Genomic DNA, 22,707 nt, shown 5'->3' on the forward strand with positions numbered 1-22,707 from the left:
CTCTCCACCGGCTCTCAGTGTTCTAGAACCCACACCATGAATGCCTGGGTCCCTCCCTCCACTAAACTGTAGCTCTCCAAGGGCAGAAGCCAGTTCTGTCATCCCATGTGCCCTGGCTCTTGGCATAGTGCCCAGCACACAGAAAAGGCATAATAAATGTTGAATGAATCATTCATTAACATCAGGAAACACCCTGGGGTTCTGATTTATTGTTTTACATCAGATTCTTTTCTCCCTACCCCAACTGAAAGGCAGCCTTTTAATCGCTGGTATCCCAGCACTTAGCCTACTGCTCTGTATATAGTAGGAGCTCAATAAGTGTTGAATGATGAGAGTCGCATGATGGTTAGTTTATCTTCAGATCAGATTGTTCCCAGCCAAATGGCAAGAACAGAGCCATATCTTCCCCATGGAATGAGTACAGTGCAGCCCCTAGGAAGGAGGTGGGAGGCTCTGCAATGGGAAGGGTTCCAACAGCCTAGGTCAGTACTCCTCCCAAGGGTGATGTCAGAGATGTACCAGGGGCACAGGGAGGGTACTATCACAGTTCCTTCTTTGGACATCACCTCAAGCTCCAGTTTTTGGGACACGGGAAGAAATTCAGATCTAAGCCATAGGGCTGACCCTTGTAGGCACTACCCCATCACTTTAGAGGAATCAGAGAAAGCCCATTGAAGGAGGCTGGTTCCACGTCCCGAACTGACCCAAAACCAAAGAAGCATCTGGAAACTCTGCAAGGACTCCATCATGTAAATATTGTGCTCTGAGGTCACAAACATAACCAGCCAGAAGCTGCGGCAGCTGAGGCCCCTTCCCCGGAGGCCAACAATTAACCCCATGTAAAGATTACCAGGAAGAGAATAAATAGCTGGGAAAAGTTTCCCAAAGGATCCCAGCCTCCCTGCCACTCCAGCTGCCTGAACAGAAAGCATGGAGGAGGCAGGGAGGGTGCTAATGCCTCATTAGTGATTGTCGCAATCACTGAGATCCTGGCTGTCTTGACTGGCTTCTCCTCTGATCCATGTCAATGGCGCCCTGTTCTGTCTCCTCTGACCCTGTAGACAATTGGTTACTGGTGTTTGATTCTGAGCAGATCAGCCAGTGAAGAGGAAATTCTTCCCTGTGAGCTCCTGCAAAGTGTAGGAAATTTAGGCAGCCCAGTGAGCAGGGCTGCTGTGAGAGGAACTCTTGCTGGAGGTGCAGAGGATACCCATCCCAGCCTGGGCTCGGAGCACCCACCAGGACTTGCCTGTTGTCCTGGGCAGACCTGCCGTTGATTGTGGCAACAGAGGTTCCCTCAGAGCAGGGTCTGTAAGGCACAAAAACGTCTTTCTCTGTAACCGAAGTGGAAAAAATGTATCTGAGTCACTTTATACGTCAGGTAAATATCCTCATGAGTACGTCATTTAAAAATTTGCCATTTCCTCTGACGTTTCCACAGTTTGCTAGAACACTGCCTTCTGCTCCAGTTACAGACAAATGCCCCTCCTCTCCCTGCTTCTGCAGTGGTCTTTTAGCTTATTCCTTGGACTGACTTTCTGGGGGGAGGTAAGGATGATTTGAAGACCTATATTTTATAGGACTGTAACCTCTTAGAATTACAAGGGACCTTTGTAGGGATCATCTGGTCCCGCCTTCTCTCGGAGGCAGATATCTGCAATGGATGCCTTCCTAACAGCTTCCCAAACTGCCCAGATGCTGAGTGATTCCAAACAAAGATGCCCACTTTCTGTTCGGAGGCTCTAAATGTTATATGTTCCTTTTGACAGTAGCCAAAATTCATCTCCTGTCACTTCCATCCATTGGTCTTGGTTCTGCCTTCTAGAGTGACATAGACTAAGTCCATTTCCCTTTCCAGGTGACCTCATGGTCTTTTTCTAGGCTACACTTTTATTTATCTTCATGTCCCCATGTGGAGCCCTTCTAGACCTCCCATAGAAGAGCCCTTCTAGACCTACATAGAGGAAGTGGCGGCTGTGTGACAGTGTCACTTGTACGGCATGGCACCTGGAGCCACTCAGCCTAGCTGGAGTCCACAGTCACGCATGTGCTTTCTCTTACCCTCAGGCTGAGCACACATACCCCCCCCGTCCCCCTGCCCTTTGAGCCTCTTGTTTCCCATGTGGCCTGAGATGACAGCAGCAGTGATCATGGCTCCTCTCCAGGGCCAGGCAGCCGTGCTCATCCCCTGCTCCCCAGTGGCTCCATAGCCTTATGCTCCTGCAGGGGAAGTGGGTCACGCCAGGAAGAGCAGCTATAGCGTGAGACAGCCCAGTGCCTCTCCGCTCACCGTCAGCAGAGAACCCTTGGTCGCCAGGGTTTCCACGTGGGTTTGATGGAGGAAGGGTAGAGATGTGGGGTCTTCTGTATTCCTTTTCTCTGCCCTGAACAGTGATATAAGAGCCCTTGCCCCATCCCCAGGCAGCTCTCATGCTTCTTTAGCAGAGAGGGCCCCCAGACTCCCTGACATCCCAGTGGGCCTCTCCCTGTGATGCCTCTTCCTGGTGCCCAGGACCCCCTAAATGCCCTGTGCTTCCAAGGCATGGCAAACTGCTTCCCCTCCAGGGGCTGGCTGCTGGGGTAGATGTGGACAGCGCCACCACTGTAGCATCTCTGAGCTTGGATGCCTCTACCTGTGTTCCCCACACCCCTTCTTGTACAGGACCTAGGAGATGAGATGCCTTTTCCAAATATCATTTGTAAATGTTGGAGCCACATTTTTTTCCAAACTAATATCAGAACTGTTCTGTGCTCCAGTCAAGTTCTTTTTGAAGAAGGTAGCTCAGGTGGTTAAAATGAGCACTAGTGAGACCAAATCTATGGCCTCAGGAGCCTTCATGAGAAATGGCTCCACAGCCACCTACTGCACCACAGGCACAGCCTGGCCTGCTCTTAGGCAGGAGGACCAGGGGAGACAGTGGGGATGCCTCTGGACAACCTAGTCCACTCCTGGATGAAGAGCAGCAGCTGCTGCTGGAAGATTATGCACAGAAAACTCTTGCTCCACAATACCTCCAGCTTTCAACCAGTCCCAATCTTCAGTGTGTTGATGAGCAAAATAGACTGCAGTCACAGTGGGCACATGGAGGTGAGAACAAAGGCATCTTTGACAGGCAGGAACATTTCCTTCCCCTTCCAGAGCAGTGGCTGGCAATCCTAGCTCATCATCGCTTCTGAGAGCTCTGGGAAGAGCTGCTGTGGCCATGGCTGCTGCCCCCGGGAACTTGGCTTTATCATTCTGTTCTTTGCTCAGAAATTCAAGTCAAGTAATTTAGAATTCTTTATCCAACAACTGCTCTAGGAAAAGAACATGTCAGAAGCATTTGCTGACATCACCTTTGAGATGTTCACGTAGTTTAGGCATCACTCTCTTTCCTTTCCCTTTCAGCTCTTTATGGCATTTTCATTTGGTGGTGGTAGAAGAGTGGGTGTGTGGAGTGCATTCCTGCCCTTCCCTCCCTTGGTAAGTCCAGGTGTTTAGGGCCAGTGTGCGCCAGATGCCTCTTCTCCCAGGCACTTCCACAAGTGTAGAGGATGCCTAGACTGTGGGCACTTCCGTCAATTGACTATGTTGCACAGGCTTGGAAAATGAGGGCCAAATGTACACAGAGGTTGTGGTCTTGATCAGAGGTTTTGCCACAACTATTATTTTTAATGGCCTGAAGCATGGATCTGGCAGTCTTATGAATGGGTACTCTGAAGTCAACCCTGTGTTCCTTCAGTCTCGTCTTTGTTTATTCATTGACCATTTTACCATGCATGCCCTGGTTCTAGGGACGTAGGAAGAAAGAAGGCAAGTTCATAGGCTCTCAGACCGGGTTCTACCTCCCATCAAAGGAGGAATCTCCTCCCTTATGTTCCGGCCCACATGCTGTCCTGCCCCTGCCCAAGGAAGCTCAGTCTCTCGAGCTTTCATTGGGTGTCCAGTGGCCCAAGTGTCCCTTTTCCTCCCAGCATCTACTCTTTCCTCCCAGCCCTGCCCCTGAGGGTGCTCAGACCTCTTGACATCACTCTTCTAAAGTAGACTTTTATATATTTGCAGCAACTATCTTGTCTTCTGCAGAGTCTTATCATTCCCAGGTAGATATAAGTTCATCCATCAACTGCTACTTCCATATCATGTTCCCTCACTTCTGCCACTCCATATTTGTATAGTTGGATTAAAAAACAAAATCTGAGTTCAAGTCCTGGATATCCTTGTTAACCTTCTGTCTCATTGATCTGTCTAATATTGACATTGGGGTGTTCTGTACCAAGCAGACCTAATAGACATCTACAGAACTCTCTACCCCAAATCAACAGAATATACATTCTTCTCAGCACCACACTGCAATTATTCCAAAACTGACCACATAGTTGGAAGTGAAGCACTCCTCAGCAAATGTAAAAGAAGAGAAATCACAACGAACTGTCTCTCAGACCACAGTGCAATCAAATTAGAACTCAGGATTAAGAAACTCACTCAAAACCGCACAACTACATGGAAACTGAACAACTTGCTCCCGAATGACTACTGGGTAAATAACGAAATGAAGGCAGAAGCAAAGATGTTCTTTGAAACCAGTGAGAACAAAGACACAACGTACCAGAATCTCTGGGACACATGTAAAGCAGTGTATAGAGGGAAATTTATAGCACTAAATGCCCACAAGAGAAAGCAGGAAAGATCTAAAATCGACATCCTAACATCACAATTAAAAGAACTAGAGAAGCAAGAGCAAACACATTCAAAAGCTAGCAGAAGGCAAGAAATAACTAAGATCAGAGCAGAACTGAAGGAGATAGAGACACAAAAAACCCTTCAAAAAATCAATGAATCCAGGAGATGGTTTTTTGAAAAGATCAACAAAATTGATAGGCCACTAGCAAGACTAACAAAGAAGAAAACAGAAGAATCAAATAGATGCAATAACAAATGATAAAGGGGATATCACCACTGATTCCACAGAAATACAAACTACCATCAGAGAATACTATAAACACCTCTATGCAAATAAACTAGAAAATCTAGAAGAAATAAATTCCTGATACATACACTCTCCCAAGACTAAACCAGGAAGAAGTTGAATCTCTGAATAGACCAATAACCGGCTCTGAAATTGAGGCAATAATTAATAGCCTCCCAACCAAAAAAAGTCCAGGACCAGACAGATTCACCAGAGGTACAAAAAGGAGCTGGTACCATTCCTTCTGAAACTATTCCAATCAATAGAAAAAGAGGGAATCCCCCCTAACTCATTTTATGAGGCTAGCATCATCCTGATATCAAAGCCTGCCAGAGACACAACAAAAAAAGAGAATTTTAGACCAATATCCCTGATGAACATTGATTTGAAAATCCCCAATAAAATACTGGCAAACCAAATCCAGCAGCACATCAAAAAGCTTCTCCACCACGATCAAGTCAGCTTCATCTCTGGGATGCAAGGCTGGTTCAACGTATGCAAATCAATAAATGTAATCCAGCATATAAACAGAACCAATGACAAAAACCACATGATTATCTCAATAGATGCAGAAAAGGCCTTTGACAAAATTCAACAGCCCTTCATGCCAAAAACTCTCAATAAAATAGGTATTGATGGAATGTATTTCAAAATAATAAGAGCTATTTATGACAAACCCACCACCAATATCATACTGAATGGGCAAAAACTGGAAGCATTTCCTTTGAAAACTGGCACAAGACAGGGGTGCTGTCTGTCACCACTCCTATTCAACATAGTGTTGGAAGTTCTGGCCAGGGCAATCAGGAGAAAGAAATAAAGGGTATTCAATTAGGAAAAGAGGAAGTCAAATTGTCCCTGTTTGCAGAAGACATGATTGTATATTTAGAAAACCCCATTGTCTCAGCCGAAAATCTCCTTAAGCTGATAAGCAACTTCAGCAAAGTCTCAGGATACAAAATCAATGTGCAAAAATCACAGCATTCCTATACACCAATAACAGACAAACAGAGAGCGAAATCATGAGTGAACTCCCATTCACAATTGCTTCAAAGAGAATAAAATACCCAGGAATCCAACTTACAAGGGATGTGAAGGACCCCTTCAAGGAGAACTACAAACCACTGCTCAACGAATTAAAAGGGGACATAAACAAATGGAATAACATTCCATGCTCATGGATAGGAAGAATCAATATTGTGAAAATTGCCATACTGCCCAAGGTAATTTATAGATTCAGTGCCATCCCCATCAAGGTACCAATGACTTTCTTCACAGAATTGGAAAAAACTACTTTAAAGTTCATATGGAACCAAAAAAGAACCCTCATTGCCAAGACAATCCTAAGCCAAAAGAACAAAGCTGGAGGCATCACGCTACCTGACTTCAAACTATAAGACAAGACTACAGTAGCCAAAACAGCATGGTACTGGTACCAAAACAGAGATATAGACCAATGGAACAGAACAGACACCTCAGAAATAACACCACACATCTATAACCATCTGATGTTTGACAAACCCGACAAAAACAAGATATAGGGAAAGGATTCCCTATTTAATAAATGGTGCTGGGAAAACTGGCCAGCCATATGTAGAAAGCTGAAACTGGATCCCTTCCTTACACCTTATACAAACATTAATTCAAGATGGATTAATGACTTAACTGTTAGACCCAAAACCATTAAAAAACCCTAGAAGAAAACCTAGGCAATACCATTCAGGACATAGGCATGGGCAAGGACTTCATGACTAAAACACCAAAAGCAATGGCAACAAAAGCCAAAATTGACAAATGGGATCTAATCAAAGTAAAGAGCTTCTGCACAGCAAAAGAAACTACCATCAGAGTGAACAGGCAACCTACAGAATGGGAGAAAATTTTTGCAATCTACCCATCTGACAAAGGGCTAATATCCAGAATCTACAATGAACTCAAACAAATTTACAAGAAAGAAAAAACCCCATCAAAAAGTGGACAAAGGATAGGAACAGACACTTCTCAAACGAAGACATTTATGCAGCCAACAGACACATGAAAAAATGCTCATCATCACAATGCAAATCAAAACCACAATGAGATACCATCTCACACCAGTTAGAATGACAATCACTAAAAAGTCAGGAAACAACAGATGCTGGAGAGGATGTGGAGAAACAGGAACACTTTTACACTTTTGGTGGGAGTGTAAACTAGTTCAACCATTGTGGAAGACAGTGTGGTGATTCCTCAAGGATCTAGAACTAGAAATACCATTTGACCCAGCCATCCCATTACTGGGTATATACCCAAAGGATTACAAATCATGCTGCTATAAAGACACATGCACACGTATGTTTATTGCGGAACTATTCACAATAGCAAAAACTTGGAACCAACCCAAATGTCCATCAATGATAGACTGGATTAAGAAAAGGTGGCATATGTATACCATGGAATACTATGCAGCCATAAAAAAGGATGAGTTCATGTCCTTTGTAGGGACATGGATGCAGCTGGAAACCATCATTCTGAGCAAACTATCACCGTAAACACCACATGTTCTCACACACAAGGGCCTGTTGGCAGGTGGGTGGCAGGGGGAGGGTAGCATTAGGAGAAATACCTAATGTAAATGACGAGTTAATGGGTGCAGCAAACCAACATGGCACATGTATACATATGTAACAAACCTGCATGTTGTGCACAGGTACTGTAGAACTTAAAGTATAATTTAAAAAAATTTAAAAAATTAATAAAATAAAATCTGCTAAGTTTAGCTGTTTTTATCTTATTCAATTTTAACTTATTAGTGTTAGTTCATCCTCACAGCCTACCTAGTTTTTGGAAATCCTGTCTCTGTTATCTTTGTTGTCACTGAGCCTTTTGTCATCTGCACAATTGGATCCCAGAGCTGTGGAGCTGAACATAAGTTGTAGGGGAGGAGCGTGGTGGCCCCAGAGTTTGCCCTCAGCCTTCGGTGGCACCTTCACATAAGGCCTCAAATGAAGACGCAGACTGCCTATGGCAAGAATCCAGGCTGCCTGTCTGAATGCTAAGCACACAGTAGGTGCTTCATAAATATGGATGTGGGTGAGCGGTTGTCAGGGGTGTCTGACAAGAAGCCTGATTCGTGGTGTGCCATCCCTGTTTCAGGAAAGTGACTTCTGTGAGCTCATTTGCTAGGCAGCGTCCACTGTGTTTTATAGTGTGGTCATGAATTAATAATGCACAACACTCCTAATTAGGCTGGAATAAAAACACAGGTTAAAGAAGAGAAACAGCTGGGGAAGTGTGTTATGACTGTGCAGCCTCTGGCTCCAGGGGCCTGATTTGGGGTATAGCAACCACTGCAGTGGACAGTTTTCTGGAAAGCAGGTCCCCTACCTAGTTGTCCCTGGAGAGAGAAAATATTTGTTTTTTTTCAGCACCCCTTCTGCTTGTGCTGTCAGAATAAGAAAAAGTGGCTCTGGCTAGTTCTCCTCCCCACTCCCTGCATTTCAGGTGGAATGATTTTACTTCATGGAAGTGAGTGCTTTAGTAAGTGCTTGCCTGCAGAGCTTGCATCGGGAGTTAGGGAAGGATGAAAAATGCAGTAGAAGTTGGCCTCATCAGGATGTGAAATTGACTGTGAACAGTGTGATTTATTAAAGACAACTGTTTGTGCTGGTTAAAATGTGCACTCAGCTCCTAGCAAGGATCTCTTGCTCAGAATGGAGGAAGCTCCCTGAGGGTGGTCCCAGCTGCCCCTTCCTCTGTCTCTCCTTGCCAAATCCTCTTGCAGGCTCAGCCCTTAGCAGGGGCCATATAATTGTGGCTTTAACAGTTTTAATAAAGGGTCATGCAGGCACTGGGAACATGCTCTTCAATGCTCACAGTCTAAATTAGGCACTAACCAAGACAAAGGATATAAGCGTGCTCATCTATGCTTTCTCTGTCTCCCACCACAGCGACAAGAAAGGGCGGCCCCAGGAGATGGGGGGACCGAGTGAGTGAGTGCTAGCTGAGGTCTGAAAACACCATCCTGAAGCTTCTCCCTCTCTGTTACCTTGAGCACCTGGAGTAGGGGGATGAAATGAGATTTGAAGGCCAAGGATTTAAAGGAAAAGAATCCTGGCCAGCAACGTTCACCATGTGACCTGAAGCAAGCTGCTGCTGTCTGAGCTTCAATGGTCAAGTGTACTGTGGAGCCACACAGCCTTGAGTTCTAATGTCCAATGAGCGTTTAGACCTTGGGAAAGCTACTTCTCCGAGCCTTAGTTTCCGTATCTACTAAATGGGGCTGGTGACACCTGTGTGATAAGGTGGTTGTGAGAATGAGGGATGTACCCAGCCAAGCCACATGTAATGCTCAGTAAATGTCTGTCTCCTCTGCTCCATGCGTGAGCACCCAATTTAGTAGAATGCCCTTCCCCCTGCAGATTCCCCTACAACAGTAGTTCCCAAAGTGTGGTTCTCAGACCAGCAGCATCCACATCACCTGGAACTTGCTAGAGATGCAGATTCTCAGGCCTACCCCAGATCTACTGGATCAGAAACTGTGGGGTGGGGCCCTGCAGTCTGCGTTTCAGCCTGTCCTCCAGGTGATTCTGATGCAGACTTGCTGTTCTGGGATTTTCTGCTTCAATTTCGAATAGATGACAACCATCTAGTCCTTTCTCCTGAGAGGACGTGAAAGTGAAAGTGACAGCTGACCATTTTTTGAAAAAACTGTGAGGCCTGAACACCGGGGTTTGAGTTCCAGGTATGTAAACTCTGTGAGGGTAAGGAATTATCATTAGAGCCTTAAGGTAGCAAAAGCCTGTTCTTCAAAGCTTCTGTCCATCTCCCCCACGTTTGGAGTTAGATCCAGTGGTTTATAGGCTCAGAAGCCTGAGGCAGCTTTGCTGTTGCTGTGTATCTTTTGATAAGATAACCAGCCCTCTGATGGGAGAAGGCTCCTGCCTCATAGGCTTATTAAGATTAAAACTCTAAATTTAGCTCTGGAGGAAGGTCTGCAGGCTTAGGGCCATTTGATGAATGACTCCATGATATCTCCAGACTGCAACTACTAGAGTAAATAAGATTTAAATACAGCTGCCAAGCCACCTTATCGTTTCCCCCTATCAGATCTGAACATGGTTAAACTAAGTGCTGTCAGTGCCAGCTCAGTGAATGAAGGCAGCAGTGCATAAAGTCATTCTGAATAATTAATGAGATAATGGTTGTGAAGCTGGTGGGATGGTGCAGAGAGTGCCAGGGCAGGGCCAGTGTGTTTCCAGATCCGGTGTCAGCACCCTAGGTCTAGGGTCTGGTGCATGAGGCAGTTCTTTAAGGAAAGAAGCACTCATCCTCCAGTGGCCTCAAAATAGAAAATGCCACCAAAGCAGAGATATGTACATACAGTTAGGGGCTGATATTCAGGATATCTAACAAATGGCAGGGCACAGGCATGGACCAGTGGATCCAAAGAGATGGTGGCAAGTGCAGGAGCAGGCCCTTGGGGCCTCTGCAGAACCACATGTGACCCCTCTTTTTGTAGCAGAAGACAAGTCATGAGGGAGAGGCCAGGACCATGGCTTTTACTCACTCTAGGGTAGCATATCATTCTTTTAATGTCAGGTATAGTCTCTCTGATGCACACCAGCTGAGTGTCAGCCTTGAGGGCACATGCTGAGGCTATGCTCAGGGTCAGTGAGAGAGGCCCCCAAATTCATCAGTCACCAAGTCTTATAAATCCCTCTTTGGCAGCATCTCCTGGAGTCGCCTCTTTCCCTTCATTCTACTTCCCCATTGGATATATCCCTCTCTGAGCCAGCCCATTAGTAAACCCTCTGGAGGTTGAAATTTATCAGTTTCATATTGGTCTTAACCAGGTTGGCTGTGTGGGCTGTTACATGTGCATAGTGCACCCCATGGACGTGGATGGATATGTTGGTGACATTTAAGAATCATATTAGGTTGGTGCAAAAGTAATTGAGGTTTTGCCATTGAAAGTAATGACAAAACTACAATTACTTTTGTTCCAACCTAATATATCCTTCACATTTGCAGACGTAGGCTTTGACCAAGAAGAGTTTGTCTTAGGAGGTGAATCTTGTTTTCTTTACAACCTGGTGGTTCTTAGGAGTGATGGGAATCTCCTCTCTTTCCTTCCTTAGAATGGTTTTGAGTCACTGGGGGGACATTACTCTATGGGACCAGAAAGTAAGAATCTATCATTTTAGCTGAAAGGACCCAAGAGCCAAGCTGGGAAGGTCATAGCGCTGTTCAGCCCTCAGAACTGGGAACCAGAAAGTTGATGACTGCACAGTGGATGAGCCAGAGGGACAGCAGGCAGTGGGGTGCTGGAGCCTCTAGCTAGAAAACTTGCCTTGGTGGAAGGAGGGAGGAAGTTAAGGCAGTATTAATGCTAGATAAATCGTGGATAATGGTAGATTTAAAAAACTAAGGGACAGACATCATTCAGACTGTTTTCCACATAGGACTCAACCTGCCACCCTGGGCTTGGGATGTGGACTCTGGGCCTTTGTGAGGTGATGTGGCTTCAAGCAAGAATATCACTATTGGATTGAAATCAAAACCAAAGTTTGAGAATCTGCTAGCTGGGTGCTCTATGACAAGTTATTTACCTTTCTGAGCCTCAGTTTCTGCCTCTTAAAATGAGAATAGTAATTTCTACCTCAGAGTGTTGTAAGAATTAACTAAGATTGTGTATTCTTTGTTGTAAATGGTGTAGTAGATTGCATATTCTTTGTAGACCATTTGCATGTAGACAGAGACTATGGTGCTGGGTGGCTAGGAAGAAAGCTTCCCTGAAGTTTGTTCATGTGCTGGCCATCAGCCATTGTCTTCTAAAAATGGGTACCAGTAGGATGTGGTCTTTGAAACAGCCCTGTTAGAGACAAGATGGTGGTCACAGACTCGGGAGTGCTGCCCAGCCTGACAGCCAAGTGAGCCTCTGATGGGGTAATTGATAGCTCAGACACAATTCAGCAACTCAATTAACTCATCTCCCATTAGGATGGATTGATTTCTTCCTTGGGATAGGAATTTGTGCTGGTTCAGCAACAGCAGCCTTCCCACTGCTGAATGCATCTGTGTGGTTAAGAAAGCTTTTCCAGTCCTCCTGCCCCACAGAGGCCTCAGGGGAAGAAGGCGTGATTAGGGGAGCCCAGTGTTCAGTCCTACACATGATAAGTCCCCCTGCCCCTAGGAAGATGAAGGACCGAAGGTCCATCATTATTTTATTTTTATTTTTATTACATATTTTTTTTAGAGGCTCACTCTGTTGCCCAGGCTAGAGGTGCAGTGGCACAATTTCGGCTTGCTGTAACCTTTGCCTCCCGGGTTCAAGTGATTCTGGTGCCTCAGCCTCCTGAGTAGCTATGATCACAGGTGCACGCCACCACGCCCTGCTAATTTTTGTATTTTTAGTAGAGACCAAGTTTTGCCATATTGGCCAAGCTGGTTTTGAACTCCTGGCCTCAAGTGATTTGACCGCCTCAGCCTCCCAAAGTGCTGGGATTATAGGCATGAGCCACCATGCCTGGCCTACCATCATTTTAAAAATGAATTCTGGGGCCAGGTACCGTGGCTCACGCCTGTAATCCCAGCACTTTGGGAGGCCGAGGCAGGCAGATCACTAGGTCAGGAGACCGAGACCATGGTGAAACCCCATCTCTACTAAAAATACAAAAAATTAGCTGGGCGCAGTGGCGGGTGCCTGTAGTCCCAGCTACTCAGGAGGCTGAAGCAGGAGAACGGCGTGAACCCGGAAGGCAGAGCTTGCAGTGAGCCGAGATTGCACCACTGCACTCCAGCCTGGGCGACAGAGCAAAACATCTCAAAAAAAAAAAAAAATGAATTCTGGTCTGGGCACTGTGGCTCATGCCTGTAATCCCACCACTTTGAGAGGCCAAGGCAGGTGGATCACCTTGGGTCAGGAGTTCAAGACCAGCCTGACCAACAAGGAGAAACTCTGTCTCTACTAAAAATACACAATTAGCTGGGCATGGTGGTGCATGCCTGTAAATGCAGCTACTCGGGAGGCTGAGGCAGGAGAATCACTTGAACCTGGGAGGCAGAGGTTGCGGTGAGCCAAGATCGTGCCATTGCACTCCAGCCTGGGCAACAAGAGTGAAACTCCGTCAATAAATAAATAAATAAATAAATAAATAATTATTTTTTCTCACATCTTTTGTCTGAACACCCTGAGGCATAAAAAGCCCAAGACATTGCAATGCTTAATCTATGATTAATGCTGCAAATCTATGATTTGCTAACATCCCAATGTTATCTTTAAAATTTTCAAATGTCAGCTTCATTGAGACATACTAAATGCATCATTCAAGGTATACAATTGGCTGAATTTTGCCAGTTTTATACACCCTTGAAATCAGTCTCACAATCAAGATATAAAACATCATCATCCCAAAAGATTCCTAGGGCCCCTGCACAACCTGTCGCCGCCCAGCCCCAGGCAACCCCCGATATGCTTTTTGTAACTGTAAGTATACATTTTATATAAATAATATATACTGTATTATTTTGCCAAGGGCTTCTTCACTCAGCATAGTTTTGTTGTCATGGTAAATTACACAAAACATAAAATTTACCATTTTAACCATTTTTAGGTGGCATTAAGTACATTCATATTGTTATGCAGTCATCACCATCCGTCTCGAGTTTTTTTCGTCTTGCAAAACTGAAACTTTATACCCATTAAACACTGCCTTCTCATTTCCCCTCTCCCTTGAGCCCCTGGCAGCCATCATTCTACTTTGTGTGTCTGTGAATTTGATTACTCTACATATTTCATAGAAATTGAACCATATAGTATTCTTTTGTGTCCGGCTTATTTTACTTAATATGATGTCTTTAGGGTTCATCCATGTTGTAGCATGTGTCAGAATTCCTTCCTTTTAAAGGCTAAATAATCTCTTGTATTTTTACACCATGTTCTGCTTATCCATTCATTTGTTGATGGATACTTGGGTTGCTTCCACCTTTTGGCCGTTGTGAATTATTCTATGAACATGGCATACAAATACCTCTTCTAGTTCCTGCTTCATTTCCTTTGGATATTGGTGTGGTTTGGCTGTGTCCCCACCCAAATCTCATTTTGAATTATAGCTCCTCAATCCCCATGGTCATGGGAAGGACCCGGTGGGAGGTAGTTGAATCATGGGGGTGGGTTTTCCTGTGCTGTTCTCAGGAATAGTGAGTAAGTCTCATGAGAACTGATGGTTTTATAAAGGGCAGTTCCCCCGCACATGCTCTCTTGCCTGCCACCATGTAAGATATGCCTTTGCTCCTCCTTCGCCTTCTACCATGATTGTGAGGCCTCCCCAGCCATGTGGAACTGTGAATCCATTAAACCTCTTTTTCTTTATAAATTACCCAGTCTTGCATATGTCTTTATTAGCAGTGTGAGAATGGACTAATACAGATATGTATGTGGTAATTCCAGGTTTAATTTTTGGAGGTGCCTCCATACTGTTTTCCACAGTGGCTGTACCATTTCATATTACCTTTTATTTATTTATTTTTTTTATTTTTCTGAGACGGAGTCTCGCACTGTCACCCAGGCTGGAGTGCAGTGGTGCAATCTCAGCTCACTGCAACCTCCTCCTCCCAGGTTCAAGTGATTCTCCTGTCTCAGCGTCCCCAGTAGCTGGGATTACAGGCACCTGCCACCACACCCCGCTAATTTTTTGTATTTTTAGTAGAGAAGGGGTTTCACTATGTTGACCAGGCTGGTTTCAAATGCCTGACCTCGTGATCCACCCGCCTCGGCTTCCCAAAGTGCTGGGATTACAGGTGTGAGCCACCGCGCCTGGCCACACATTACCTTTTAAAGAAGGTTTTTCACTGGACCTGCTTCTTGTTCTGATTATCCTTTCTCTTTTCAGAAAACATACCCTTTGACTTCACATGGCCCTGTGTGCTGATGCTCTTTTCCGTCAGTATCAAACCGCAGGCTTTCCATTCCTTTCAGACTGATATAATTGCTCAGAGAATTGGTCAGCCATAATAACGCCAAGTAAAGTTATTACTTAGTTAATTAACCAAGTTATTACTTGGTTATTACAATTTAATGCTGACCTTCTCTTCGCTTCAGCCATTTCCCTCTGTGTCCTACCTGTTTCTCATTAGCTGTAGTTATTATACAGCTCACTGATATCCTATTAACAATGTCATGATACAACCACCTACATCCTATTAACTCTACCTATTATGCCACCTACATTGGTCCTCTTAATTGAATCTATTGTGCCATACATCCTAGTTATCTGCAATTAGCTATATCTGTCAAATAATCTGTCCTATTAATTATATTATCCAATCTCTTGCAACTGTTGTCTGACTTTCTGGGAACCTGTTCATATATCTTTGACGCTACCTGGCTGTGATCTGTTAAAAACTGATCACCTGTTTAGATCTTGTTAGATCCAGATATCAAAAGCCCTGCAGGAAATTACACATATTGATTCTGGGGACCCAGCCTTGAATGTGCAGAGTGTGTAGGGGGCTTCAGCCCTAAAGTACACTCTTAAGAAGGATATTTTCCTTTGACCAATAGCATACTGCCCACCAGGCAGTATGAGCCACATTAATGGGGAGAGAGACAGAGACAGAGAATGTGAGAGTATGTATGTTGGGAGGATGCCTTGTGGGAAGAATGGGGTTGGCATAAAAGGAATGGGGGTTGGGAGTCTCACTCCTGGTGGAGAAGGGAAAGCCTGGAAGGAGAATACCCAGTGGGGAGGGGTGCATGGGTGGGGGACAGTGGACTGCAGGGGGAGGAAGTCAGAGTTTGTCAGGGCAGAACCCTTTTTGACACCAACTTTTTTTGTTAGTGACCAACAAGCCTGCATGACTGTGTACCATAGCAGCCCTTGGAATGTTGCCAGAATGACAGCTTCTCCCCTTTGCTTTCCAGCCTTACCATTCCACTGTTATTTGAGCTGCTGATGAAGATGAGGCTCTGCCCCAAGCCTACCCCTGCCCCCCTGGGCCACATCAGTGCTTGCTTAGCAGGCCCACAGTCAGAGACCTTGTGTCTACAGGCCACCAACAAGAGAGAGTCAATGCCTAGGACAGGGCCAGGCATATAGCAAGGGCTTGTGAAGTAGTTGGCTGAGTAGTGCTGAAGGGTGACATGTAGAATCTGTCTCTTCTGGAAGAGGTGTGGTGTTGACCGGTCCCCTTGCCTGTGTGTCTGAGCCACAGTGATGGGAGCTCTGAAGGCCTCCAGGGAGGATGGGTCCATCTGGAAGCTCAGGGACAGTACCTAACTGCATTGGGATAAATAGTATTCCTCCCGGAATTCACGTGGACCTGGTACCTCAGCATGTGACTTCATTTGGAATCACCATTCATGATGATTCTGTCATCACAAATCTTACTCCTGAGGTTAGGAAAGGATAAGGAGCCCTTGACAGCTGTCTGGTACATGCCACGTCTACTGTCTGTAGGAAGGTGTGTGCTTTAAAAAGTCCAGTGAGCTGTGGGCATGTAACAATTATCAAGTGGTCCTATATTAATCTTTTGTATTTCTAAAACACTTTGTGAAAGCACTACCAAATCTGTGATCTTATTTTATTTGCATGCTTTTAAAAAATTACTCTGAGCTGTCATTGTGTAGATGGGGAAACTGAGGCCCTAGTAGGGTCTCATAGCACAGTCAGGATTATAAGTCTCCTAAGTGCTATCTAGCCACCTCTCTGGATGGCATATACAGTAAGAATGGGGAGAATTTTCACAACCTAGCTATGGCCCGTGCTAAACATGTCTATGCCTCACCTCTGGGCAGTCTTGGGGACAGTCTTCCTTACAGCCCTGTGTGTTACGCGGAAGCTTTCACAGGGTGTCACTTGATAGCCACGGGTGCCAAGCAGAGCTGTGCAATGCCCCAGGCCTAGCATTGTGTAAATGAAACATCCCCATTGGCCCATCTTCACAGCTGGCCTCTGGGCTCCATGTTTACCAAACACTGCTGATGCCTCACTCCAAACACAGCTGGAGTCCAGGAGTGCTTTCTGTGTCCAAAGCCCGCTCCCCTCATCCTGCTCCCTGAACCCACTGAGGAGCAGGTGTTGGCCGGTCCCCTGGCATCTGTGCCTGAGCCACAGTAATGAGAACTCTGAGGGCTTCCAGCAGGATGGGTCCATGTGGAAGTTCTGGGAAAGTACCTGGCTGTATTGAGCTAGTGTTCCCCTGCAAATTCATGTGTACCTGGCACCTCAGAATGTGACTTCATTTGGGAATAGGTTCTTTATGGATATAACTTGTCAGGCATCTTGAGAGGAAATCCTCCTGGATTTGGAGTAGCCTTTAAATCCAATGATTGGTGCCCTTGAGAGGACAGAGGGAAGAAGGCTCTGTGAAAATGGAGGCAGTGATGCTGCCATAAGCCAAGGGATCCTAGGAGCCACCAGAAGCTGGAAGAGGTAAGGAAGAGTTCCTGCCAACACCTTGATTTCAGACTTCTGGCCTCCAGAACTAAGAATACATGTCTATTGTTTTAATCTACTAAGTTTGGTAAGTTGTTATGGTAGCCACAGGACACATACTGGCTGCCTAGCAGGAGGTGGAGCTGTGGGGCTGGTCCTGGAGCCAGGCTGCCAGGGGTCGTCTGCTGCCCTCACCTCTCTTGCCTGCAGGGCCTGGGAGAACACTGTGGAAAGCCAGGCTAAGGCGCAAGGAAGACCAGGGCTTGACTTCCCTGTTGTCACTCTAATCTTGGTAGAGAAAGACTTCTGTGCCCTCCCACCGTTACTATTACTACCTTTTTTTAGTTCCCATGCTATGCCAGGCACTGTGCAAGTCTTTACATCATTTCACTCCATCCTTATAAGGACACTATTCAGTAAGTTGCTGTATCCCTAGTTTTTCATTTGAGATTCATTAACTTGCTCGAGGTTCCACAGCTGGCAAGTGGCAGAGCCAGAATTTGAACTCATCCCATTTAAGAGCCTGCACATATACCACTATGCTACAGTGACTTCCCCATGCCATATTAATAATCATGACAGCTAATGGTTGACATAACAAGAAGAGAACCTGTAATCACCCCCAGGGGCTTCCCGCAGCCTCCTTCCTATTCCTACCACTGTCTGTCTGCCTGCCTCCTCCCTATGCAGCAGCCACGTCACATGATCCCCGTTCCTTGGATGGCCTATAAGGTGGTCTTCCTCTAGTAGCTGGGCCCTGTCCCTTCCCATCTGACAAACTCTTGCTCAGCCCACGTGGCCCAGTTTAAATGTGCTCTGTGCATTCCATCATCTAGTGCTTACCACATGATCATAAATCCCACTGGTGTATGTGTGTGTCTTTCCCAAGTTGGAGTGGGAGTGCCTTTGACATGGGACTGTGTCTTTCCCTTTCGGCATCTTGTATCTTCCCCAGCATCTCTGGCTCTCCAAAGCCCCCAGTAAATGTTTGAGTAAGTGAAACATGCAGAAGACATGAAGATTGTTAAGTAACAAATACTCAGCAGAAAGGGCTGTTAATTTTAAAAAAAGAAGAAAAAGAAAAGAACATCAGATATTCTAAGACAAGTATTTGTAGAGGGAATCACTAAAAGCTTTCAGTTTTGAAAGCAAATATTTAATTTAGGCTCCCCCTTCTGTGTGCTTACAAATGGCACTAAATTCAGTATAATGCTTAATCTACATTTTGAGATTTACTATGGGACTCATGGACTTTAAGAAAAAAATGTAGTTCATTGTAAATGCCTACATTTCACAGTCGTTCGTTTCTTTTAACACACACAATTGGATTGACAAAGGTAATGACTTCCTAGCTAGCCATATTCAAAAGAAATGTCAAAAATTTAAATTTATAAAGCTCTCTGTGAAATGTTGTGATGCCCCAATCAAATGACCCTCCTGATCTTGCCCGGCACCCTTTCCCTCTTGGCTGCTGGCGCCTTCCTGTCTCATTGCCAAGGACAAGCCACGTCTGCATGTCTCTATCCCACCCCTCACCACTTAGAATTCTTGAAACCTCTGGGGAGGCTGACCAAGAAGGACAGAGGACCCTATATTTGGGCTTCTGGAACCTAAGTGCCCCAGGGCTCAGAGCTCCTATTAGTGTTATTTCACATTTACTACAAGTTTAAAAAAAAAAACACACAACGGTGATGATGACGGTGATTTTTGTGTCTTGTCCATGAATCACACAATATTATTCTAGGGGGAAACGTACCCTGATTTCAAACAACTCATCTAAAAGTACAGATTTTGGAACATGACCTACATGTTTACAGTGCCACATGAGACTACACTCAGACTCATGGACTTTTTTCCTTTTTCAATTACTAACTGCTTTAGTCCTCTAAACGTGGATTCTTCTTTTTTTTTTTTTTTTAAACCAATACTGGGTCTAACTCTGTGGCCCAAGCTGGAGTGCAGTGGCACACTCATAGCTCACTGTAACCTCTAACTCCTGATCTCAAGTGATCCTTCCTCCTTGGCCTCTCAAGTAGCTAGGACTACAGAAACATGCCACCATGCCTGGCTTATTTATTATTTATTTATTTATTTATTTATTTATTTATTTATTTATTTATTTATTTATGGTAGAGATGAGGTTTCACTATGTTTCCCAGGCTGGTCTCCAACTCTTGGACTCAAGTGATCCTCCCACCTCAGCCTTCCAAAGTGCCGGGATTACAGGTGCCTGGCTCTAAACATGGATTCGTTAAAAGCTTGCCCTATTTCTTTTTTTTTTTTTTATTATACTTTAAGTTTTAGGGTACATGTGCACATTGTGCAGGTTAGTTACATATGTATACATGTGCCATGCTGGTGCGCTGCACCCACTAACTCGTCATAAACATGGTTTGTGTTTGCAATAGTGCACTCCTCATTTTATGCTGACTCTGATGGGAATGTAGGACTCAATTGCTGAAGTTGTCATTACAGCAGACTTTCCTGGAGGCCTTTGTTGTTTGTCAGGTTGCCTTCTCCAAAAGGGGACAGTTTGCCCATGTGGGATGTCCTGCCCCAAGCATTTCTAACTGCTCTTCCATCTCTGTCCTCCCTCTGCAGGCTGGCCTTGGGTGACCCTCTCTGTCCTGGGATTCCTGTACTGCTACTCCCACGTGGGCATTGCCTGGGCCCAGACCTACGCCACGGACTAATGCTGTTGGGCCCAGGCCAGTCCTTGTTGCTGGCCTCCAAGGCAAATAGTGCTTCACCCTGACCTCTCACTCCAGGACAGCCTCTAAGGGATTTGATCTGCTCATCTTCAGTTGAATGCCCTCACTCCAAGACTGGATGCTGGATCTCATAGAAAATTCACAGCCAGACAATCTTCTAATCTGGAGTCTTTGAGATCTTCTACCCCAACTCATCATTTTCCTATTGAGGAAACGGGTCCAGGGCAGTCGTGTGTCTTACCCAGCTACACAGGGTGACATTTTGGTCTAGAACCTAGTCTCATGAGCCCTTTGCATTCTTTCCCCTTAAGCAAGAATAGAATGTAGTGGAAATTTATTGATTGAGACACAGAAATCCTGATTAGTGATAGGCCTGTCTTCTGGGCAATATTTCTAAAATATTTGAGTGACATTGATGTTTAAGTGACCTCCTTCATCACATCCTGCAGTATCTCCAGAAGCAGCACTAGGGTTTGAGTTTCATGCTTCAGCCCCTCTGTAGGAATGAGACCAAGCCACAGCTGTCTTTTGAATTACGTAGTCGAAGAAGACGGTAGCAGCCCTGTAGCATTCTAAGGCATCTATACCCAAGGAGTCCTGTGATCTGAGCTTCAGCAGGGTGATCTACATTTGGGTGCTTGTTTCTGAGATTTGCAGAGAAGTATAACATGGTAGTTCCTCTACCTTACAGTTAATCGTTTCTTAATAAAGAAGCAGAATTTAGAAACCACAGGATAGTGTACCCACAGATGGGTGTTATCAAGGCCAGTCATGAGGATGGTGTCCTGGAGTCTTGTCCACCCTCTCCATACAAGTCTCAAAAGTCATCCTCCTACTCAGTGATTCACGTTTAGTGGTTTATATTATTAAGGTTTGATTCAAACAGAGCCTTTTCTGTCCTGTAGATAATCTACATGTTTGTAGAATTATTTTGAATATGTTTGAGGAAAATGTTTAAAATCTAAATATACTCACATAACTTGATTATTCACTCCTCTGAAAAGATGCTGGATAGGCTACCAAAGTTCCCAAGTGGTAGATAATTCAGAAGACTTGTTTGAATTTGGATTTTTTTTTTTTTTGGAGTGGGGAAGGGTATAAAGGAGGCTTAAAATTTGAATCCATAATATATCTAATTACAGGAGAATTTACAACATCTCAAGTACGTAAATTAAGTTGTCATTGAGTGAAAGGTTCACTTGGACCTAGTGCTGCCTCCTGTTTATTACATAGCATGGCCCTTATGTCTTGAGTTGAGGTTATCATCTCAATGAGGCTTTAGCTCCTAGAGTACAGGACCATTTTGTTGATTGTCTTTCTTCATAGCTTCTCTGCTTGGCAAAGAGATGGGAGGGGGCCAGATACTGACTACCTGGGGTAGGCACATTATGTGTTAAAGCAAGACAGAGGCCAGAGAGGGGCAGGTAGACCTGCATAGCAGCAGCCTCAGCAGCTGTCTTGGTAAAGGAGAGAGAGAGACATGGGGCCAGTAATTCCGGGGTGCTCAGAAGTTTTAGGAGGGGATGAGCCTCAGGGAGGAGTGAGCACCTAAATGAACGCAGTAAACCTTCATGGACCAACAGTGATTGAGGATTTGTGGGCAGCCAGAGGGAGTCTGACTGAAGTTTACTTGGAAAGAAAGGGCTTGCTAAGAAAAAAGGGAGTAAAAATGATGATAGGGAAGTGTCTAATGTATGTGCACATATAAGTAATACAAAAGTTTTGAGCTCTTCCAAGTATACCATTTATATACAAACAAATAGGTTTATTCATTCATTAAACTACTTTGGAAGCGTCAGTGGATATATTTGAAAGTGGTAATCCTGAATCTCTTTTAAACTATTATATGATTCATAATGGTTCTCAGGAATTAATAAATGATTACTGTGTTTAGCTCTGTATTTGAGGCTGATTAATTAATATGTGGATTATCCAGGACCATTGTTTTGCTTAACCTCTTCCTACTCCCCACTTGTAATATGAAAATGATAATGCTTCTCTCCTCATGCATATTCACTAAAATCTTGTAGTTACTCTGAATGGTGGTGCCTGGGCGCACAGAGGAGTTCAGGCAATGACACTGGACATGTCATCAGCCCTGGGCAACTTCAGGCGCAGTGTTGGGAAAAGAATAGACAAGGTCCCAAGGTCAATTCCAGCGCCTGGATCCTCTGATCCCAGCCTCGCTCTGCAGGCAAGCCCAAGAGCTCCAAGCACAATCGCCAAGATGCTACCCAAGGAGGGAAGCAAGATACCTGAAGGACACCCAAACCTCAGTCATTCTAATTCTTGGGACCACACAAGAAGACTGAAAGGTATTATTTTTTCAAATTAATTTGAAGTGTCAGCAGAAAACATTTTGTTTCATTAAAGACAGCAGGCCTCAAGAAAAAATAAATCAATGAACAAATAATTGTATTATAATCTATATACTGGGAGAATAGCAGTTTAGGTAGGGGAGGGGGTGGCTTCTCCTGACAGAAAGTGAGACTGCTCACTTGCTTATTTAGAATAATAATATAACCATTGACTAAACATAGTAAATTAACCGTAATATAATGAGTTTGGTTTTTAGCAGATGTATCAGAATATATCCATACAATAGGGTTCCCTTCAGTGTGGACAACATGAGAA

General features: G+C 44.7%; 1 protein-coding gene across 18 annotated transcripts in view, besides 1 other annotated feature; it reads left to right on the forward strand.

Annotated features, from left to right (window-relative positions):
- HHAT (hedgehog acyltransferase) overlaps positions 1–21,966 on the forward strand; it is a 348,963-nt gene extending 326,997 nt beyond the window's left edge. For all 18 annotated transcript variants that reach the window (XM_047424804.1, NM_001122834.4, NM_001170564.3 and 15 more), the window contains one exon: positions 19,964–21,966. In XM_047424804.1, the coding sequence (XP_047280760.1) occupies positions 19,964–20,055 (92 nt within the window). In that variant the 3' untranslated portion in view covers positions 20,056–21,966. The remainder of the gene's footprint in view (positions 1–19,963) is intronic.
- Positions 17,364–17,658: a silencer, noted in NCBI's record as "tiled region #1701; K562 Repressive non-DNase unmatched - State 24:Quies". NCBI's record gives its function as "represses a minimal TATA promoter and a strong SV40 promoter by Sharpr-MPRA in K562 cells {active_cell/tissue: K562}" and the evidence as "EXISTENCE:reporter gene assay evidence [ECO:0000049][PMID:27701403]".

The sequence above is a fragment of the Homo sapiens genome, chromosome 1 (genome assembly GCF_000001405.40).
Source record: "Homo sapiens chromosome 1, GRCh38.p14 Primary Assembly".
NCBI lineage: Eukaryota > Metazoa > Chordata > Mammalia > Primates > Hominidae > Homo > Homo sapiens.